The sequence below is a fragment of the Homo sapiens genome, chromosome 9, assembly GCF_000001405.40.
Source record: "Homo sapiens chromosome 9, GRCh38.p14 Primary Assembly".
In the NCBI taxonomy this organism is placed as follows: domain Eukaryota; kingdom Metazoa; phylum Chordata; class Mammalia; order Primates; family Hominidae; genus Homo; species Homo sapiens.
This window is the reverse complement of record NC_000009.12, coordinates 37,584,274-37,601,064: the sequence shown is the minus strand read 5'-3', so window position 1 is coordinate 37,601,064 and position 16,791 is coordinate 37,584,274. Positions and strand designations below refer to the sequence as shown.

The window sequence follows — 16,791 nt, the reverse complement described above, 5'->3', positions numbered from 1 at the left end:
CTCCCACCTTCTGTCATGTGAGGATACAGCAAGAAGGCCCTCACTGGACCAGATGCCAGCACCTTGATCCTGGACTTCCCAGTCTCGTTATAACTGAGAGAAAATAAACTTCCGTTCTTCATAAATTACCCAGTCTCAGATATTCTGTAATAGCAGCCCCAAATGGATTAAGACAGATGGGAAGAGGATTGGTTCTGCCTTGAACAGGTGAAGTGTGTACCCATGGGACATCTGAGAAGACAGTGAAGTTAGGAGGTCGGTTGGATATACACCTCTGTGTTTCTGGAGAGAAGTGAGCTGGTGACATATGTGGTAAATCATTAGCCTAAAGATGGCATTTGAGGCCAGGCAAGATTGCCCATGGGTACAGAAGAGAAGGGGATCCAGGAGAGGTCCTTAAAGAATGCTGCCATTTAAGTGTGACCCAAGGAAGAGTGTGGAAGGAGGCTATGGAGCATCTAGTGAGGTGAAAAGAAAGCTAGAGAATGTGGTATCCCTGAGGCTAAGAGGGGAGAGCTTTCCTGAAAAGGCCATGTGGCGAATAGTGTCAAATGCTGCAGAGGGTTTGAGGCCCACAAGAATCTCCTGGATTTGGCAATAAGGATTTCTCTCAAAGGAGGAGTTTCAGAGAACAGATGGGGCCAAAAGCCCAACCTGTCCTTAGGCTGCAGAATAAATAGGAGGTGGCCGGGCATAGTGGCTCACGTCCGTAATCCCAGCACTTTGGGAGGCCGAGGTGGGTGGATTACTTGAGGTCAGGAGTTTGAGACCAGCCTAGCCAACATGACGAAATGCCGTCTCTACTAAAAACAAAAACAGAAACAAAAACAAAAAAACAAAAACAAAAATTAGCCAGGCATGGTGGCACGCACCTGTAGTCCTAGCTACTCAGGAGGCTGAGGCAGGAGAATAGCCTGAACCCAGGAGGTGGAGGCTGCAGTGAGCTGAGATCGCGCCACTGCACTCCAGCCTGGGCAACAGAGAGAGTCCCCATTTCAAAGAAAAAAAAAAGAATAAATAGGAGGTGAGGAAAAGAGGACTGTGGGTGCTCTGCCACTTTTTAAAAAAGATTTACTGTGAATCAGAGGCCAGGGATAATTTAAATGGGACTGACTAATGATAGCAGATACTGGGAGTTTTTTGGTTTGGGTTTGACAGGGTCTTGCTTTGTCACTCAGGCTGGCATGTGGTGGCACGATCATGGCTCACTGCAGCCTGTATCTCCCAGGCTCAAACGATCCTGCCACCTCAGCCTCTGGAGTAGCTGGAACCACAGGTGTGTGCCACCACCATGACTAACTAAATTTTTTTTTTTTTGGTAGAGATGGGGTCTCGCTTTGTTGCTCAGGCTGGTCTCAAACTCCTGAGCTCAAGTGATCCTCCCGCCTCAGCCTCCCAAAGTACTGGGATTACAGCCATGAGCCACCATGCCTGGCCTTTTAGATACTGTTGTGGTTAAAAAAAAAAAAATTACTTGCTCCATTTAGAGTATGCTCAATTCATAATTTTTCTACTGAAAAATTATGTCTTGTTATTAGTAGTAGCTACGATTTATAAAGTGTCCACCATAAGCCAGGCACATTATGTACATTATTTTATTTCACTCTTTTTTTTTTTTTTTTTTTTTTTTTTGAGACGGAGTCTCGCTCTTTCACCCAGGCTGGACTGCCCAGACTGGACTGCAGTGGCGCTATCTTGGCTCACTGCAAGCTCCGCCTCCCGGGTTCACGCCATTCTCCTGCCTCAGCCTCCCGAGTAGCTGGGACTATGGGCGCCCGCTACCACACCCGGCTAATTTTTTTTTTTGTATTTTTAGTAGAGACGGGGTTTCACCGTGTTAGCCAGGATGGTCTCGACCTCCTGACCTCGTGATCCACCCGCCTCGGCCTCCCAAGGTGCTGGGATTACAGGCGTGAGCCACCGCGCCCGGCCTAAGCACATTTTCATAACGTATGCATGTGTCTTTTGTGTAATGGGGATGGGATGGGAATGATGGCAAAATCAGCTCTAACCTCTGCAGGGAGATGGCTAGAAATTAGTATGTGCTCTAAATGATGTCAATGCAAACTAAGCCCTCAGTACATTTTACTTTTCCTGCTGCAAAATAACTTCTAGCACAAGAAAGCAAACCTCTTCTAAAAACAAAATCTCCCATTTCCTTGTTTGTAGTTCTAAAGGCCTGGAGACCTGACATCTACACCCTTGGCCAGAGTGTGCCCTATTCCTCAGAAAAAAGAGGGTCACTAGGAAAAACTGAGAACTCTGAATTTAAGGTAGTAATTCTAATGATCAGGGAAATTTTTAAGTGTGCACAAAATAAGTGCTACAAGGATGTTCACTGAAGTATTATTTATAGAGAAAATATGTAAGCAACTGAATACCCAAAGGAAGAGATTTAGTAAATAAATTATGGTAAATCCATATACTGGAATGCCATACAGCCATCATTAATGATGTTTAGAGGAATATTTAAAGATATAGGAAGACAGTCAATATCACTTAATGAAAAATGCAGGTAAAAACAGCATATACTAAATGTTCTATTTTTGTAAAAATACACAGATATAAATGCGTGTGGAGATATATATATTATATATATATGCCTACACTCACACACACACACACACACACACACACACACACAAGAAAGAGCAAGAGCTGTACATGTATATGATAGAAGAAAGGCCAAAAGAATTACCATCAATATGAGTGGTTGTAGTATTATGGGGAATTACTTTTTTTTTCTTTACTTTTGTATTGTCTAAATTTTATTATAGTAAACATACTTTTTTATAAAAGAAAGAAAGTTATTTAAAGTATGACATGGGTTTTATATAATTATATTGCTGTAAATAAATACAAGCAAATACATTTTAAATTTCATTCTATAACTCTGCCTATGATAGACTAAAATTATTTAATTGATTTTTATTTAGCCAAACAAAAAACAACCTGTTCTAAAAGAGTGAGAAATAAGTAACTATATAAGACTAATAGGTAGGGTCGGGTGTGGAGGCTCATGCCTGTAATCTCAGCACTTTGGGAGGCCAAGGTGGGTGGATCACTTGAGGTCAGGTGTTCGAGACCAGCCTGGCCAACATGGTGAAACCCCATCTCTCCTAAAAATACAAAAATTAGCCAGGCGTGGTGGTGCACATTTGTAATCCTAGCTACTCAGGAGGCTGAGGCAGGAGAATTGCTTGAACTCAGAAGGCAGAGGTTGCAGTGAGCCGAGATTATGCCACTGCACTTCAACCTGGGCAACAGAACAAGACTCTGTGTCAAAATAATAATAATAATACTATGTAGTATTTGAGGGAAATTTCTTTTGGGGACAATTTCCTTTCAATCTAATATACAAAGCCAGCAATTTTTAAATTCTAAACACTAGTAGATATGAAATGCATTCATTCACTCATTCACTTGGGGGTACTTACTGAGTTTCTACCATGTAAATACCTGTCCTCGGTTGCTTGGAGGATGAAAGAATGAGCGATGACATGTTCCTTGTACTTGAGGTGCTTGCAGTCTACATGGCAAGAGATCAAATATTCATGAATTATCCAGACAACAAAGCCCTAAAGGTTAGAACTGAGAACGGGGTGTCATAGAAAGCAAATGCCAGTGAGGTGAAGGTTATCAACATTCTACCTCCCTTTAAGGTTCAAAGGTCCCCTCTTCCTAAAGAGGCATCTGTCCCTTAGTGAGCAGTAATTTCTAGAAGTAAGTTATCCTCTCTGCTAGGTGAGGACTCTGGTTAGCATCTATCATGGAACAATCCTTACTGAGAGCCCAAGGGTCCTTTCTTTGTCCTGACCCTTATTTCATTCATCTTGGTTCTGAGTGGACTTTAAAGTCAAGTTTATTTTAGGAATTCCAGGCCATGTTCACCTCCTGAAGGAATGAGGAAGGAGAGGTGTGGGACTGGATAATAACACAGTCCAGATTAACAACTGGTGATGGGTGAGGCAATGTGGAAAGAAGGGCTGCCTGTAGTCTATTGATGAGTAACAGCCACCCCTTATCCTGTCCCTCCCAAGCTGGGGTTTAACAACACTCCATTCTTTTCATCTTTACTTCTGAGGGGAGGATCGTCAATGAGAATATTCACAGTTAAAGTATCGAAACCAACAAGGTACGATGGGGAAAGGGGCTAAACTGGGAGCCCAGAGACCTATCCTAGTCCAAGCCAGTTCTAACTAGCGTCCCTTTGGGCCTCAGTTTCCCCATCTGCCAAATGAAGGGGTTGAACTGTTCAATACTCAAAGCCTATATAGCTCCCTATAAATTAGGAATCACAAACTTCCTGTGATTTTATGTTGGATTTATTCCCCAATCATGAGTCATCAGTCAATCTCTGACCTTGCAAATACAAATTCCTCACCAGTGATGAAAATTAAAGCACTTAATTCTCTTATGAGTAGGTTGTACACTCTGAATGATGTGTACTGTACTGTCTGGGAAGTCGAGGCAAAGGAAATGGCTCTTTAATCCCTCCTGGGATCTAAATGGAAAACAAGACAGGCTGTGACATCAGCTCCCATTTCCTCTGTGATCAGACTAAATAATACAAATATCAATATTAAATTATGCGCGCATACTTTTTATTTTTGCCTTCCACGGCAAATCACAGTGAATCCTTTGCTCTTAGCTTTTAGTTCAAGGTTATGTAGGAAGAACAGGAAAGATGAACACAGAATTACAGCATTTTTAGAAATGTGGGCAACTTTAAAGATTAGACCCAACCTCTAATCATCCCATCATTGAGGAAGAATGAGGGGTCCAAGATATGAAATAGCTCCATCCAATGTTGACTTCCTGAAGCATATTTTCTCAATTTGCCTCACCTAAACCCACTGTCATTGGACAATACCACCACCTACATGCCAAATAAATAAGCACTTTTTTAAAAAGCCAAAAAAGAGAAGCGAATCTCTTTTCATGAGTTTCCTTCATTACAACTAGATGAACCATGCAAGGGGAAAACTGAATTCACCAGGAGGAACGTATCTGAGACAGGAATGGGTCATCCTCCTAGCCTGTAACCAACACCAATTCTTCACTCCAAGATCTAGCTACCCCATATTTCTATCCACTACCTACTTCTGTCTCTACAGGTACGCAAGCACCAGACTTAAGAAAATTGTTATGAAAATAATACTGCCCTTTAACAGGCTAGCCGTTTGCTACCATATCACCTACCGGGTGTAAAGGTGCTGCTTTAGCTGGGCATGGTGGCGCTTGCCTGTATCCCAGCTACTTGGGAGGCTGAGGCAGGAGGATCCCTTGAGCCCAGGAGTTTGAGAATAGCCTGGGCAACATAGCGAGACCCTGTCTCAAAAAATTAATTTAAGAAAGTACTGCTTTAATTTAGGGAATAAAATTCAAATGCTTAAAATCTGTTCTTTTCACCAAGAAACATTATTTTTGGCTAATTTATCCCGTCTTTCATTTCCTATGAAAGTTACTCAAAAGCATCTCTGCAGAGAAAATAAATTGATAGTTTCATATGTGAGCTGTTTTTCTAAATTTTATCAGCATTAGGGGTTGAAGTTACTGGAACCACGTAACAAGAACTCACCCCTTCCCAATCACTTTGCCTCACTATTCGGATGGATGAGATATGCCTTATTTTTACATCCATCCTATCGTGGAACACACACACACACTGACCATTTTGATGTCTGACCATATTTGATGATATTTTCAAAGTCATACACTCCATAACAGAAAGTTCTAGATGACACAATTAAAATTCAAGATGCATAGGTGGTTTTAAAAAATGCATAGACTGTTAGAACTGGAAGAAACTTTCAAAAGCATCTCAATATATGCCTTCCCTTTCCAACTAAACAAATGGAAGAACTGGGTGCAGTGGCTCATGCCTCGGTCAGGAGACTGAGGCAAGAGGATTACTTGAGCCCAGGAGTTTGAGACCAGCCTGGACAACACAGCAATATTCTATTTCTAACAAAATAGAAAAAAATAACCAGGTGTAGTGGCACGTGCCAGTAGTCCCAACTACTCAGGAAGCTAAGGCAGGAGAAGGACTGCTTGAGCCCAGGAGTGTGAGGTTGCAGTGCGCTATGATCACACCACTGCACTCCAACCTGGGCGACAGAGCAAAACTTCATCTCTTAAAAAAGAAAAAAGAAAATTAGCCGAGCGTAGTGGCACACGCCTGTAGTCCCAGCTACTCGGGAGGCTGAGGCAGGAGAATCGCTTGAACCCGGGAGGCAGAGGTTGCAGTGAGCCAAGATCACGCCACTGCACTCCAGCCTGGGCGACAGAGCAAAACTCAGTCTAAAATAAATAAATAAATAAATAAATAAAGAAGAAGAAAGAAATGGAGTTGCAGTGAAATCAGATACTCGTCCCTCATCACACCACTAGTTGGCAGCAGTGCCAGATCTAGAGTCCATGTCTCCAGTGTTCCTGTTCATGTTCTTTCCGCAGTTCTTGCTGCTTTCAACATCACTGCAGGCTTTCTAAACACTCACCAAGGGTTGGCTGGAGGCTATTCCTTGGGAGTCAGCCCCTCCCATTCCAGAGCTGCCTCTGCTATTCCATTGCATGAATTACAGATGCAAAAGGTTGCTAAAGCTGGAATAAGCAGATGAGTTCCCTTTCTTGCCCCAGTGCCTTACATTCTGTCAACCAGAAAGTTGACCGTGCATATAGTTATTAGTTGCTCTCATAGTAAATTATTGTCCTAATTTATCCAAAGTCCATTGTTGCTATGCAATATGCAGTCAAGAAGGAACATTCTGGTTTTGAATTATGTGAGCAATTCAGTCATCTGGCTTGCGTGTAAGAAGTAGATATGGCTAGTTGGCATGCGTAACTTGGGGCAGCAGCCTACTAACTCTGTTTGGATGCTTCTGTGACAGGAAATCTGGTTGCATCAAACTCTTGACTCTAGCGATGTCCATCCATGTGGGCACTAACTGTTAAAGACTAACAGATGAGCAGTAGGGTGCAGGGGAAAGATAATTCAACTTGACATGATAATTATCTGCATTAGAACCCTGCCCGTGCATCACCAGCAGAATGACTAGACTTTAGTGCACTTTAGACTTCAGCTGCGATGTTCCAGATAAAGGGCTTCACACCAAAGCTGGACTTGGTTTCTGAGCCTCTTTCTATTCATCTGTAAAATGCTGATCAGATTTGAACTTGCTTTATACATATTGTGTTACTTGGCTAACAGTATTTTAAAGACCTCTGTGCTTCAATAATCTGTAAAAAGGCCAGGTGCGGTGGCTCATGCCTGTAATCACGGCACTTTTGGGGGCCGAGGTGGGCAGATCACCTGAGATCAGGAGTTTCCAAGACCAGCCTGGCCAACATGGTGAAACCGCGTCTCTACAAAAAATACAAAATTTAGCCAGGCGTGGTGCTGCGCAACCGTAATCCCAGCTACTCAGGAGGCTGAGGCAGGAGAATCACTTGAACCTGGGAAGCAGCGGTTGCAGTGAGCTGAAATTGCGCCACTGCACTCCAGCCTGGGCGGCAGAGCGAGACTCTGTCTCCAAAAAAAAAAAAAAAAAAAAAAAAGTTTCATCTTTGTCTCTTTGTTTTAACTTATGTAAAGTTTCAAACATACTCAAGAAAGACTAGAATAATTAACTAAAATGAAGTACTAGTCACCAGCAGTTTTTAATATTTTGCTGACATCACTTATCTCTCTCAATACTTTTTTCCCCCTCTGAGGTATTTTTAAGCACATTTGGGGGCCAGGCGCGATAGCTCACGCCTGTAATCCCAGCACTTTGGGAGGCCGAGGCGGGAGGATCGCTTGGATCCTGGAACCCAGGAGTTCCAGAACAGTCTCAACCACCACAATTAGCAATAAAAAAATAAATAAAAATTAAAGCACATTTGGGCAAGATGTTTTAAAGATCTCTGTGCTTCAATTGTCTAATCTAGGAAACGAAGATTATAATATCGAATTCACGGGGGACAATTATATTGAATATTCAATAAATGTTAGTTATCACTGTTTACAGTGGTACCTATGTGCACAGCCCCCTCCAGCGCGTAAAAGCACTTTACAGCGCAGCGCTCCAGGCTCAAGATAGATGTTATTGTTGTTGTTATTATTATTATTATTATTATTATTTTGAGACGGAGTCTCGCTCGCTCTGTCGCCCAGGCTGGAGCGCAGTGGCGCGATCTCGGCTAACTGCAACATCCCCCTCCTGGGTTCAAGCGATTTTCCTGCCTCAGCCTCCCGAGTAGCTGGGATTGTAAGCACGCGCCACCGAGCCGGGCTGATTTTTGTATGACAGATGTTATTAAAGACAGCGTGGAGAAACCAGAGCCTGCGTTGCTGAGCTTGCGGCCGCCCGCTTCACACCGCACTTCAGATCAGCTGGGTCAGGACGTGGATTGTCCCGTGCAGGCATCCATCGTCGAGTGTGGCAACGAGAGGGCGGGAACAGGAAGTGAGGATAGGCCGAGTTCCGGGCGCGAGGCGGCCACCGTGGAGAGCAGAGCGCGGCGGCTGGAAGCTGCTAAGTCAGAGCCGCGATGTTCCGGATTGAGGGCCTCGCGCCGAAGCTGGACCCGGAGGAGATGAAACGGAAGATGCGCGAGGATGTGATCTCCTCCATACGGAACTTTCTCATCTACGTGGCCCTCCTGCGAGTCAGTGAGTGTCTCCCGGGCTGTGACTGTGAGACCAGCGGGGAGCTCACCGACGGGCACCCCTTAACTCTAAGGGGTCATCGGGGCCTTCGAACTGAGCTGAACGGTAGCGGGGAGCAAGGAGGGTGCGCGTTGAAGGCGACGGGCATATGCGCGGTTTGAGGTCTGCGGGTCAGGGTCCGGGCACTGAAGTGCACGTGGTGGCCGGCGCGCGTGTTTAATCATCCTGGTTCTCCCAGCTTGAAGAATGTTTGAGCTGCCGGGCGCGTTGGCTCACACCTGTAATCCCACCCAGCACTTTGTGAAGCCGAGGCGGGCGGATCATTTGGGGTCAGGAGTTCGTGGTGGCGGGCGCCTGTAATCCCAGCTCCTCGGGAGGCTAAGGTGGGAGGATTGCTTGAATCCAGGAGGCGGAGGTTGCAGTGAGCCGAGATCGCGACACTGCACTCCAGCTTGAGTGACAGAGCAAGACTCCATCTCAAAAAAAAGAATGTTTGAGCTGAAAGAGCTCAAGTAATTATCCCTAGAGGAACTCCCTCGTTTTTGCAGACAGAGAAACAGAGAAACAGAACCATAGTTCTAGAAGGAAGAAACAGCCTTCTTGGGAAGGCTGGCCAAAGGTCACTCAGCGATTCAGTGAATGATCTTGACCTAAAATCCAGAACTCTTAACTCAGTACCAGGTTCCTTCCCTTTCTTTTCTTTTCTTTTTTTTTTTTTTCCTCGATACACAGTCACGCCCTGTTGCCCAGGCTGGAGTGCAGTGGCGCAGTCTTGGCTCACTGCAACCTCTGCCTCCCGAGTTCAAGCCATTCTCCCACCTCAGCCTCCCAAGTAGCTGAGATTACAGGCGCGCGCCACCACGCCCGGCTAATTTTTGTATTTTTAGTAGAGATGGGTGTTTAACCATGTTGGCCAGGCCGGTCTCGAACTCCTGACCTCAGGTGATCCACCTGCCTCAGCCTCCCAAAGTGCTGGGATTACAGGCGTGAACCAGCGGCCGGGTTCCTTCCCTTTCAAAAGTGCTGACCTTTGAAATCCAAAAAGTTTTGCTTCATTTCTGTTTCTTTGTATAGAGGGTGAAGTGAGTCATTAGTTTTTTGGAAAAAAATGGGAAAAAAGAATATGAGTCTATAGGATTAATGCAAATATTTGAGGTTTTTTTTTCTATATCTTAAAATTGACAGGAAGTTACTCCCATTATATAGTCTTGACAGTGGACCTTTGAGGGAGGCAGGGCCTAAGATTCTTTATATCATTTTACAAATGAGAACTTGATTTTCAGAGGGGACTTAGCAAGGAAGGAAGGTATCAGAGTTATAGGAACACTGAATATAAGAACTGGAAGCAGCTTTATGATCAGTTCTCGAATGCCCTGCCTTCTCGTTCTCAATTCAGTATCCTTTCCATTGTTCCTTGCTGTATATTATTGGCCAGCCAGTCTGGATGGAGCGGCAGGGATGGTTCAAATAAATGAAGGCCATACCAAAGTCATCCTATTGAAGGCTCATGTTGGGCTTAGGCCAGAGCTCACTGATACTGAGATGTCCCTTATTCTGTGTCTCTTTCACTGTCTATGGTATTACTCTGCTTTCACAGAAGAGCGAGTCTTGGGGAACAGAAACACCCGTATCATCCTAGTTCAACAGCTTCTTGCAACTCCCAAATTTACTTATTTCCTGCCTCCTGCCTTTTTCATTGATCTAGCTGCCAGTGAAATATTTGCTGCTTCTCAGTGACCTTTGTATTTGATATGAATTGTTTATTTTCACTTTTAAGTTGAAATATAATTTGTATATTATACAATATACCCATTTAAGGTGTACAATTCAGTGGTTTTTAGCAGTCAGTTGTGCAGCCATCACAATTTGACAGTATTTTCTTTCCCCCTAGAAGAAACACCATACGAATTCATTGTTACCCCATTTCCCCCTTTTCTCCAGCCTTTCACAACGACTAATCTACTTTTTCTCTATGGATTTGTCTAGTCCGGATTTTTTTTTTCTTTTTTTTGAGACGGTCTTGCTCTGTTGCCTAAGCTAGTGTGCAGAGGTGGAGGCTGCAGTGATCATGGCTCACAGCAACCTCGACCTCCCAGGCTCAAGTAAGTGATCCTCCTACTTCAGCCTCCTGAGTAATTGAGACTGCAGGCACACACCACCACGCCCTGCTAATTTTTTATTTTTTGTAGACACGAGGTTTCATTATGCTGCCCAGGTTGGTCTCAAACTATTGGGCTCGATCAATCCTTCTCATTTCCTCCTCCCAACCTGTTGGGATTACAGGTGTGGTCCACCACACCTGGCCCTGGATATTTCATTTAAATGAAATTGTCAAATGCATGGCCTTTTGTGTCTGGCTTATTTCACTTAGCATAACATTTTCAAGATTCATCCATGTTGTAGCATGTGTCAGAACTTCATTTTGATAGCTAAATAAGTTTCTGTTGGAAGGATGTATCACATTTTGCTTATCCATTGATCATTTCATGGATTTTTTTCTGTCGTTAAGAATTAGTAGGAAAAATTGGATATACTGCTGACTTTATCAGCTTCTGACAGATCTCAGTGTCTTCAGTTTAATATTAAGAAATTGAGCTGGGCGCAGTGGCTCATGCCTGTAATTCCAGCACTTTGCGGGGCTGAGGCGGGCAGATTGTTCGAGCTCAGGAGTTCAAGACCAGCCTTGGCAACATGGTGATACCTCGTCTTTTAAAAAAATACAAAAATTAGCCAGGCATAGTGGCATGTGCCTATAGTCCCAACTATTCAGGAGGCTGAAAAAAATAAATAAATAAAATAATGTTAACAAAATTCTATTAGTATGAGTATTGAGAAAGAAGGTGATTTGGGTAGCTTTTTTTTGGTCACAACACTTTTACACAGGACAGTAATATCACTTCTTTAGATCTATATGTCGACACTTAGTTTTCTAGACATTTCTATGTACATGATCTTATTAGACCCTCTTAATGACTGAGGTAGGACTGTATCAGATGTGATCTAGAGTATGTTAAGTGATATATAGCTAATCAGTAAGAGACCCAAAATAGGTGTCCAGCTCTTCCGGTTCTCTAGTTCAGTGTTTTCCCATATCCTCTGCCTTTCAAATGAGTTTTTAAAGGTGAAAAATGCCCATTTGTTTCCTCTAGAGTTTTGTTCCTTTTACAGTTAAAATAAATCGCTAGAGTAAAGCCTTGTCATTTGAAAGAGAATTGGATTTATACTTTATGGCCCTAAGGGGCAAACTATCTGGAGAAAAGGTTTTATGTAGTATAAGAATGAAATTTACAATAATAGCTGAATGACAGTGGAATGGGCTGCTTTGGAAGGCAACTAGTCCCTTTTGCTGGGCTGTACAGGCACATGCTTGACCATCACTTGGAGTTATTTTCAAAAACATGTTGAATAAACCTGATAATTCTATAATGTAGCCTATGGGCTAATAGATTTGAAAACTAATTTTAGATTTGTTTTTCTTTCAGCTCCATTTATCTTAAAGAAATTGGACAGCATATGAAGACAGGACATCACATATGAATGCACGATATGAAGAGCCTGGTTACAGTTTCGACTCCTCTCTGCAAGTGAATAGGCCCAGAAAGGTGTAAGAGACTCTTTGAATGGACATAAAATTCTGCTTGTTAAGAACAAGTTTGGCTCTGGTAACTGACCTTCAAAGCTAAAATATAAAACTATTTGGGAAGTATGAAACGATGTCTCGTGATCTGGTGTACCCTTATCCCTGTGACGTTTGGCCTCTGACAATACTGGTATAATTGTAAATAATGTCAAACTCCGTTTTCTAGCAAGTATTAAGGGAGCTGTGTCTGAAATGGCACTGTCTTGTCAGTCATTTCTGTTTACCTTTTTCTTCTGCCCAGAGTGTATTTGTGAAGAGTCTCTTATATTATGTTTTGTGGAAATCAGCACACAACCACAATGACATTTAAGCACAGGATCATTATTAGTCTATGTTTTTAATAAACATATCAATTAAGAAAAGTTGGGTTTCTATTTTTCTTATCCTACTTTTTGCTGCAAACCAACAATCACTAGTGAGACTTGTATTATATTGAGATTATTGCAAGCTTCAGTAAGTTCATCTTGTTTTGGACTAGAGAATTTGCCAATCCTGATGAAGTGTCATTGTGTTTTATTGCCAGGCAGTCTTAATGAAAGGTAGCATTACTGCTTGATGCTGAGTATATGAAATATTAATACTACCAAAGGAAAAAGTACTATATTTTTAAGCCAAATAGTTCTCCAAGTTTGTTGAGTGGAGGGGGGATAGTCCTTAACCTTCTCCCCAGGAGCAACTACATACACCTCTTTTTAGCTGATTTTATTGGTATTTACCTTTTGGTCTCTAAATAATGTGACGGTCGTGATTGGGATTTAGGTCTCTTTCCTGTCCTTAGCGCCATCACTCACACGTATCTTGTCATCTCTTCCTTCCAAAGGATAACGTAGTGTGATCTTGAGTAGATTAGTATCATTAGGATTCTGAGTATAGTACCTGGTTTTCTTTTGCTGTGTATCTTTTTGTTTTTTTCTAGGCTTGGTTTTTCTATGGAATTTCCACTAAATCAACTAAACTTTTTGCCATTTATCTAAATCATTCACAGCAATCAGCTTTATTAGGTACTCTGTTTCATTTTCCTGAGTAAGCGTTTCCTGGAGTCTTCTGACCCGCCCCTGACTGGACTGATAGCCTTCTATGCCTGATGTGTGTGGCTATATTCTGGGAACTCCCTTCTCTATGCCTGATATGTGACTGTATTCTGGGAACTCCCTTCACTATTGTCCGGGAATTCCTTTTCTTCTCTCTTATTATATCTCGTTTTCTGTTACCTAGTGTCTTGGTTTACTCCCTTGTTTGATGGAGCCTGTTTTCTCTGGCAGTGTCCTCCTGAGAAAGGTGGCATAGGAGGTGAATGACCTTGCTGGTCTAAAAATGTCTTTTTTTTTTTTTTTTTTTTTTTTTTTAACACGGAGTCTTGCTCTGTCAACTAGGCTAGAGTGCAGTGGCATGATCTTGGCTCACTGCAACCTCCACCTCCCAGTTCAAGCGATTTTCCTGCCTTAGCCTCCCAAGTAGCTGGGATTACAGGCACGTGCCACCACGCCTGGCTAATTTTTGTATTTTTAGTAGAGACAGGGTTTTGCCATGTTGGCCAGGCTGGTCTCGAACTCCTGACCTCAGGTAATCTGCCCACCTCAGCCTCCCAAAGTGCTGGGATTATAGGCATGAGCCACTGTGCCTGGCCTTAAAAATGTCTTTATTCTATAGTTTGATGAATATAGGGTTCTAGATTAGCAATCATTTTCCTTCAGAATTTTAAAGCAAAGCCTCTAGCTTTCAGTGTTGCTGCTGAGAAATCTGAAATCATTCTGATTCCTGATTTTTTTGTGGGACTAAGTATTTCTTCCTGAGAAACAAGGATCTTTGTTCCTAGTATGCTTATATTCCATGATGACATCATTTAGTGTGTGTTTATTTTAATACACTGTGGTGGGCACTTGGTGAACCTATTTAAACTTGAAACTTGTATCTTTATTTCTCAAATTTTGTAGGTTTTAAAATAATTTTATTATTTTTTATGGGTATGTAAGTGTATATATTTATGGGGTGCATGAGATATTTTGATACAGGCATACAGTACCTAATAATCACATCAGGATAACGGGATTATCTGTCACCTCATTTATAATTTATTTATGTTACAAACATTCCAGTTATACTTTTAGTTATTTTTAGATGTACAGTAAATTATTATTGACTGTAATCACCCATTATGCTATCAAATACTAGAACTTATTCATTACATCTAACTATATTTTTGTACCCATTAGCCATCCCTGCATTCCTTCCCTAACCTTTCCTAGCCTCTGGTAACCATCATTCTACTCTGTCTCCATGAGTTCAGTCGTATTAATTTGTAGCATCCACCAATGAATGCTTATAGGTTTTTATTGATTTCCTCCCCTTCTTTTTCCTTCTGCTCTCTTTTTAGAACAATAGTACTTTTAATGTTTTCTTTTTCCTTTATATTCTATTTTATCTGTAATTGCTTTTCTCTTTTTTTGTTTCATGTTAGATGCTTTCCTTGGTTGTCTGCTCACACTTAAAAATTGGGAACTAACATGGATTAAAGGCCTGGAGTGGAGCTTGTTGATGTTGAACTTTGCCAAAGGGCCATCTATTGGGCCATTTTTGTTGAGAAAACTTTTTGCGTCTGTATCTTTAGTTATTTCCCATTGAGCTGGTCATTGCTCAGAGAACAAAGACTCTTCCAATCTCCCAAGTGCTGAATGAGGCCCTGCCAACGTTCTGGGATTCAAAGGAATAGGGCTGTGGTGAGGCTCAGGACAGACAGGTGTGTGTGTGTGTGTTTCAATATCCAGTATGTATTTGCTCACTGCGTCTCTGTTTTGAGTATAGTACCTCTGCCCAAACTGCCTGGCATCCCATAATCTAGAGACCTTCTATTTTACCCTTTTCAGAAAATAAACTTTTTATTTTTTGGAGACAGAGTTTTGCTCCAGGCTGGAGTGCAGTGGACGATCTTGGCTCGCTGCAACCTCTGCCTCCCTGACTCAAACGGTTCTTGTGCCTTAGCCACCTGAGTAGCTGGGATTACAGGCGCACACCACCATGCCTGTCTAATTTTTGTAGTTTTAGTAGAGATGATGTTTCATCATGTTGGCCAGGCTGGTCTCGAACTGCTGGCCTCAGGTGATCCGCCCATCTCAGCTTCCCAAAGTGCTGAGATTACAGGTGTGAGCCACTGCACCTGGCCTAAAAAAAAAAACTATCATTTTGAGAGGGTACTGTGTAATGGAGGCTGTTTTGCTGCATAGAGTTGCAGAGAGCATCTGATTACTTAAACCTTGCACCAATTCTTATTTTAATGTCTACCCTTCTACCCCTTATTGCTAGAGGCACCTGAAGCCACTAGTTTCTGAGCCTTTTAGGGATTCCATGATATAAATTAGGTTGTGAGTTTTTGTTGTTGTTTGGGGGTTCTTGTGGGTTTTTTTCTTTTTCTACCGCTGGCTCAGAATTCAGTTTTTCAGAGTCTACTACATTATTTACTGTTGATCTACCTATTTTCCAGCTTCTAACGTTTTATTCCTGTTTCCTCTTTTCTTCCATCCTTTTAGGTTTATATCTTAAAACAAAAACCTTTACCGTCATTTAATGGGATTTTTGGGAGGGAGTGGAGGTAGGTATACGTGCTTCATCTACCATCTTAACCTGGAAAGCATGTATTTTAATTCTGTGGTTTTGTATTTATTTCTTAAATTAAGAAGGTGTAGTGTATGGCACTGTGGTCATATGAATACTGGCTCTAAAGACAGGCAGACTTGATTTTGAATGTTGGCTCCAATACTTACGAGATGGGTGATTTTCAGCAAGTGAGCTCCGAATCTCATTTTCTTTAACTATAAAATTAGGATAATAGAAACATCTCTCTACTTCAAAGTGTCGTAAGGATTAAGTGAAAAAATGCAAGTAGAGCAGCTGGCACAATTGCTTGACATTTGGTAAATGTTATTAATGGCTAGTCTTTGGTATAAGGCATTTAGAAGTGATTTGTGCTGGCATTCACAGCATAGACAGATCTCATTCCTATTTCCAGATGCTCTGAGATAGCATACTCATCCTCTAATTGTGTACAAACTTCAAACTTACCAAACACTTAAGTTCATTATCTAAAAATAGCCTTAACCAATCAATAATAATGCCATTTTACAGGTGGAGAGGTTGAGACTGCAAGTTTCAGTGGCCAATGAGTAGCAGCTGGCCAAGGCCTAGGGGACTTTTTTTTTTTTTTTCATTTAAAAAAATTATTTCTAGTCAGTCTGTGCTTATCCAGGGGACTTTTAATGTTTATTTATTCCTTGTACCCCATCCTTACATGCTTTTCTTGGAGGAAAATAGTGTAATTGTTACCCTGGATTCTAGTGTATGTTCAGGCTGGAGTAAGAGAAAATGTGATGGTTCAGTTTTTGTGACCAGCTTTTTAACTTTCAGGCCATAAACGCCACAGAGGGGCTCAATACTTGGAATAAGCAGTTCTAAAATAGTACATTAAGAAACAGTTGGGGAGATATATACAGTTTGTTTGTTTGAATAT

General features: G+C 42.0%; 1 protein-coding gene across 3 annotated transcripts, besides 4 other annotated features; it reads left to right on the top strand.

Annotated features, from left to right (window-relative positions):
* Positions 647-829: a silencer, noted in NCBI's record as "fragment chr9:37600233-37600415 (GRCh37/hg19 assembly coordinates)". NCBI's record gives its function as "represses an EF-1alpha promoter that drives an FKBP-Casp9 reporter gene in an ReSE screen in K562 erythroleukemia cells {active_cell/tissue: K562}" and the evidence as "EXISTENCE:reporter gene assay evidence [ECO:0000049][PMID:32094911]".
* Positions 6,390-6,459: a silencer, noted in NCBI's record as "silent region_19910". NCBI's record gives its function as "represses an Ori minimal core promoter by ATAC-STARR-seq in GM12878 lymphoblastoid cells {active_cell/tissue: GM12878}" and the evidence as "EXISTENCE:reporter gene assay evidence [ECO:0000049][PMID:35858748]".
* Positions 6,859-7,153: a silencer, noted in NCBI's record as "tiled region #11948; K562 Repressive DNase matched - State 4:PromP". NCBI's record gives its function as "represses a minimal TATA promoter and a strong SV40 promoter by Sharpr-MPRA in K562 cells {active_cell/tissue: K562}" and the evidence as "EXISTENCE:reporter gene assay evidence [ECO:0000049][PMID:27701403]".
* Positions 8,112-8,871: an enhancer, noted in NCBI's record as "active region_28401". NCBI's record gives its function as "activates an Ori minimal core promoter by ATAC-STARR-seq in GM12878 lymphoblastoid cells {active_cell/tissue: GM12878}" and the evidence as "EXISTENCE:reporter gene assay evidence [ECO:0000049][PMID:35858748]".
* On the top strand, positions 8,468-12,652 carry TOMM5 (translocase of outer mitochondrial membrane 5). Of its 3 annotated transcripts, none has more exons than NM_001001790.3 (2): positions 8,468-8,653; positions 12,133-12,652. In NM_001001790.3, exons 1-2 carry the CDS (start codon positions 8,533-8,535, stop codon positions 12,165-12,167), a joined length of 156 nt encoding a protein of 51 aa, NP_001001790.1. In that variant the 5' UTR covers positions 8,468-8,532; the 3' UTR covers positions 12,168-12,652. The 3 variants fall into 3 exon arrangements, with proteins under 3 accessions (NP_001001790.1, NP_001127957.1, NP_001127956.1); NM_001134485.2 differs by having other exon boundaries at positions 8,468-8,755; NM_001134484.2 differs by having other exon boundaries at positions 8,468-8,812.
* The last annotated feature ends 4,139 nt before the right edge of the window (positions 12,653-16,791 follow it).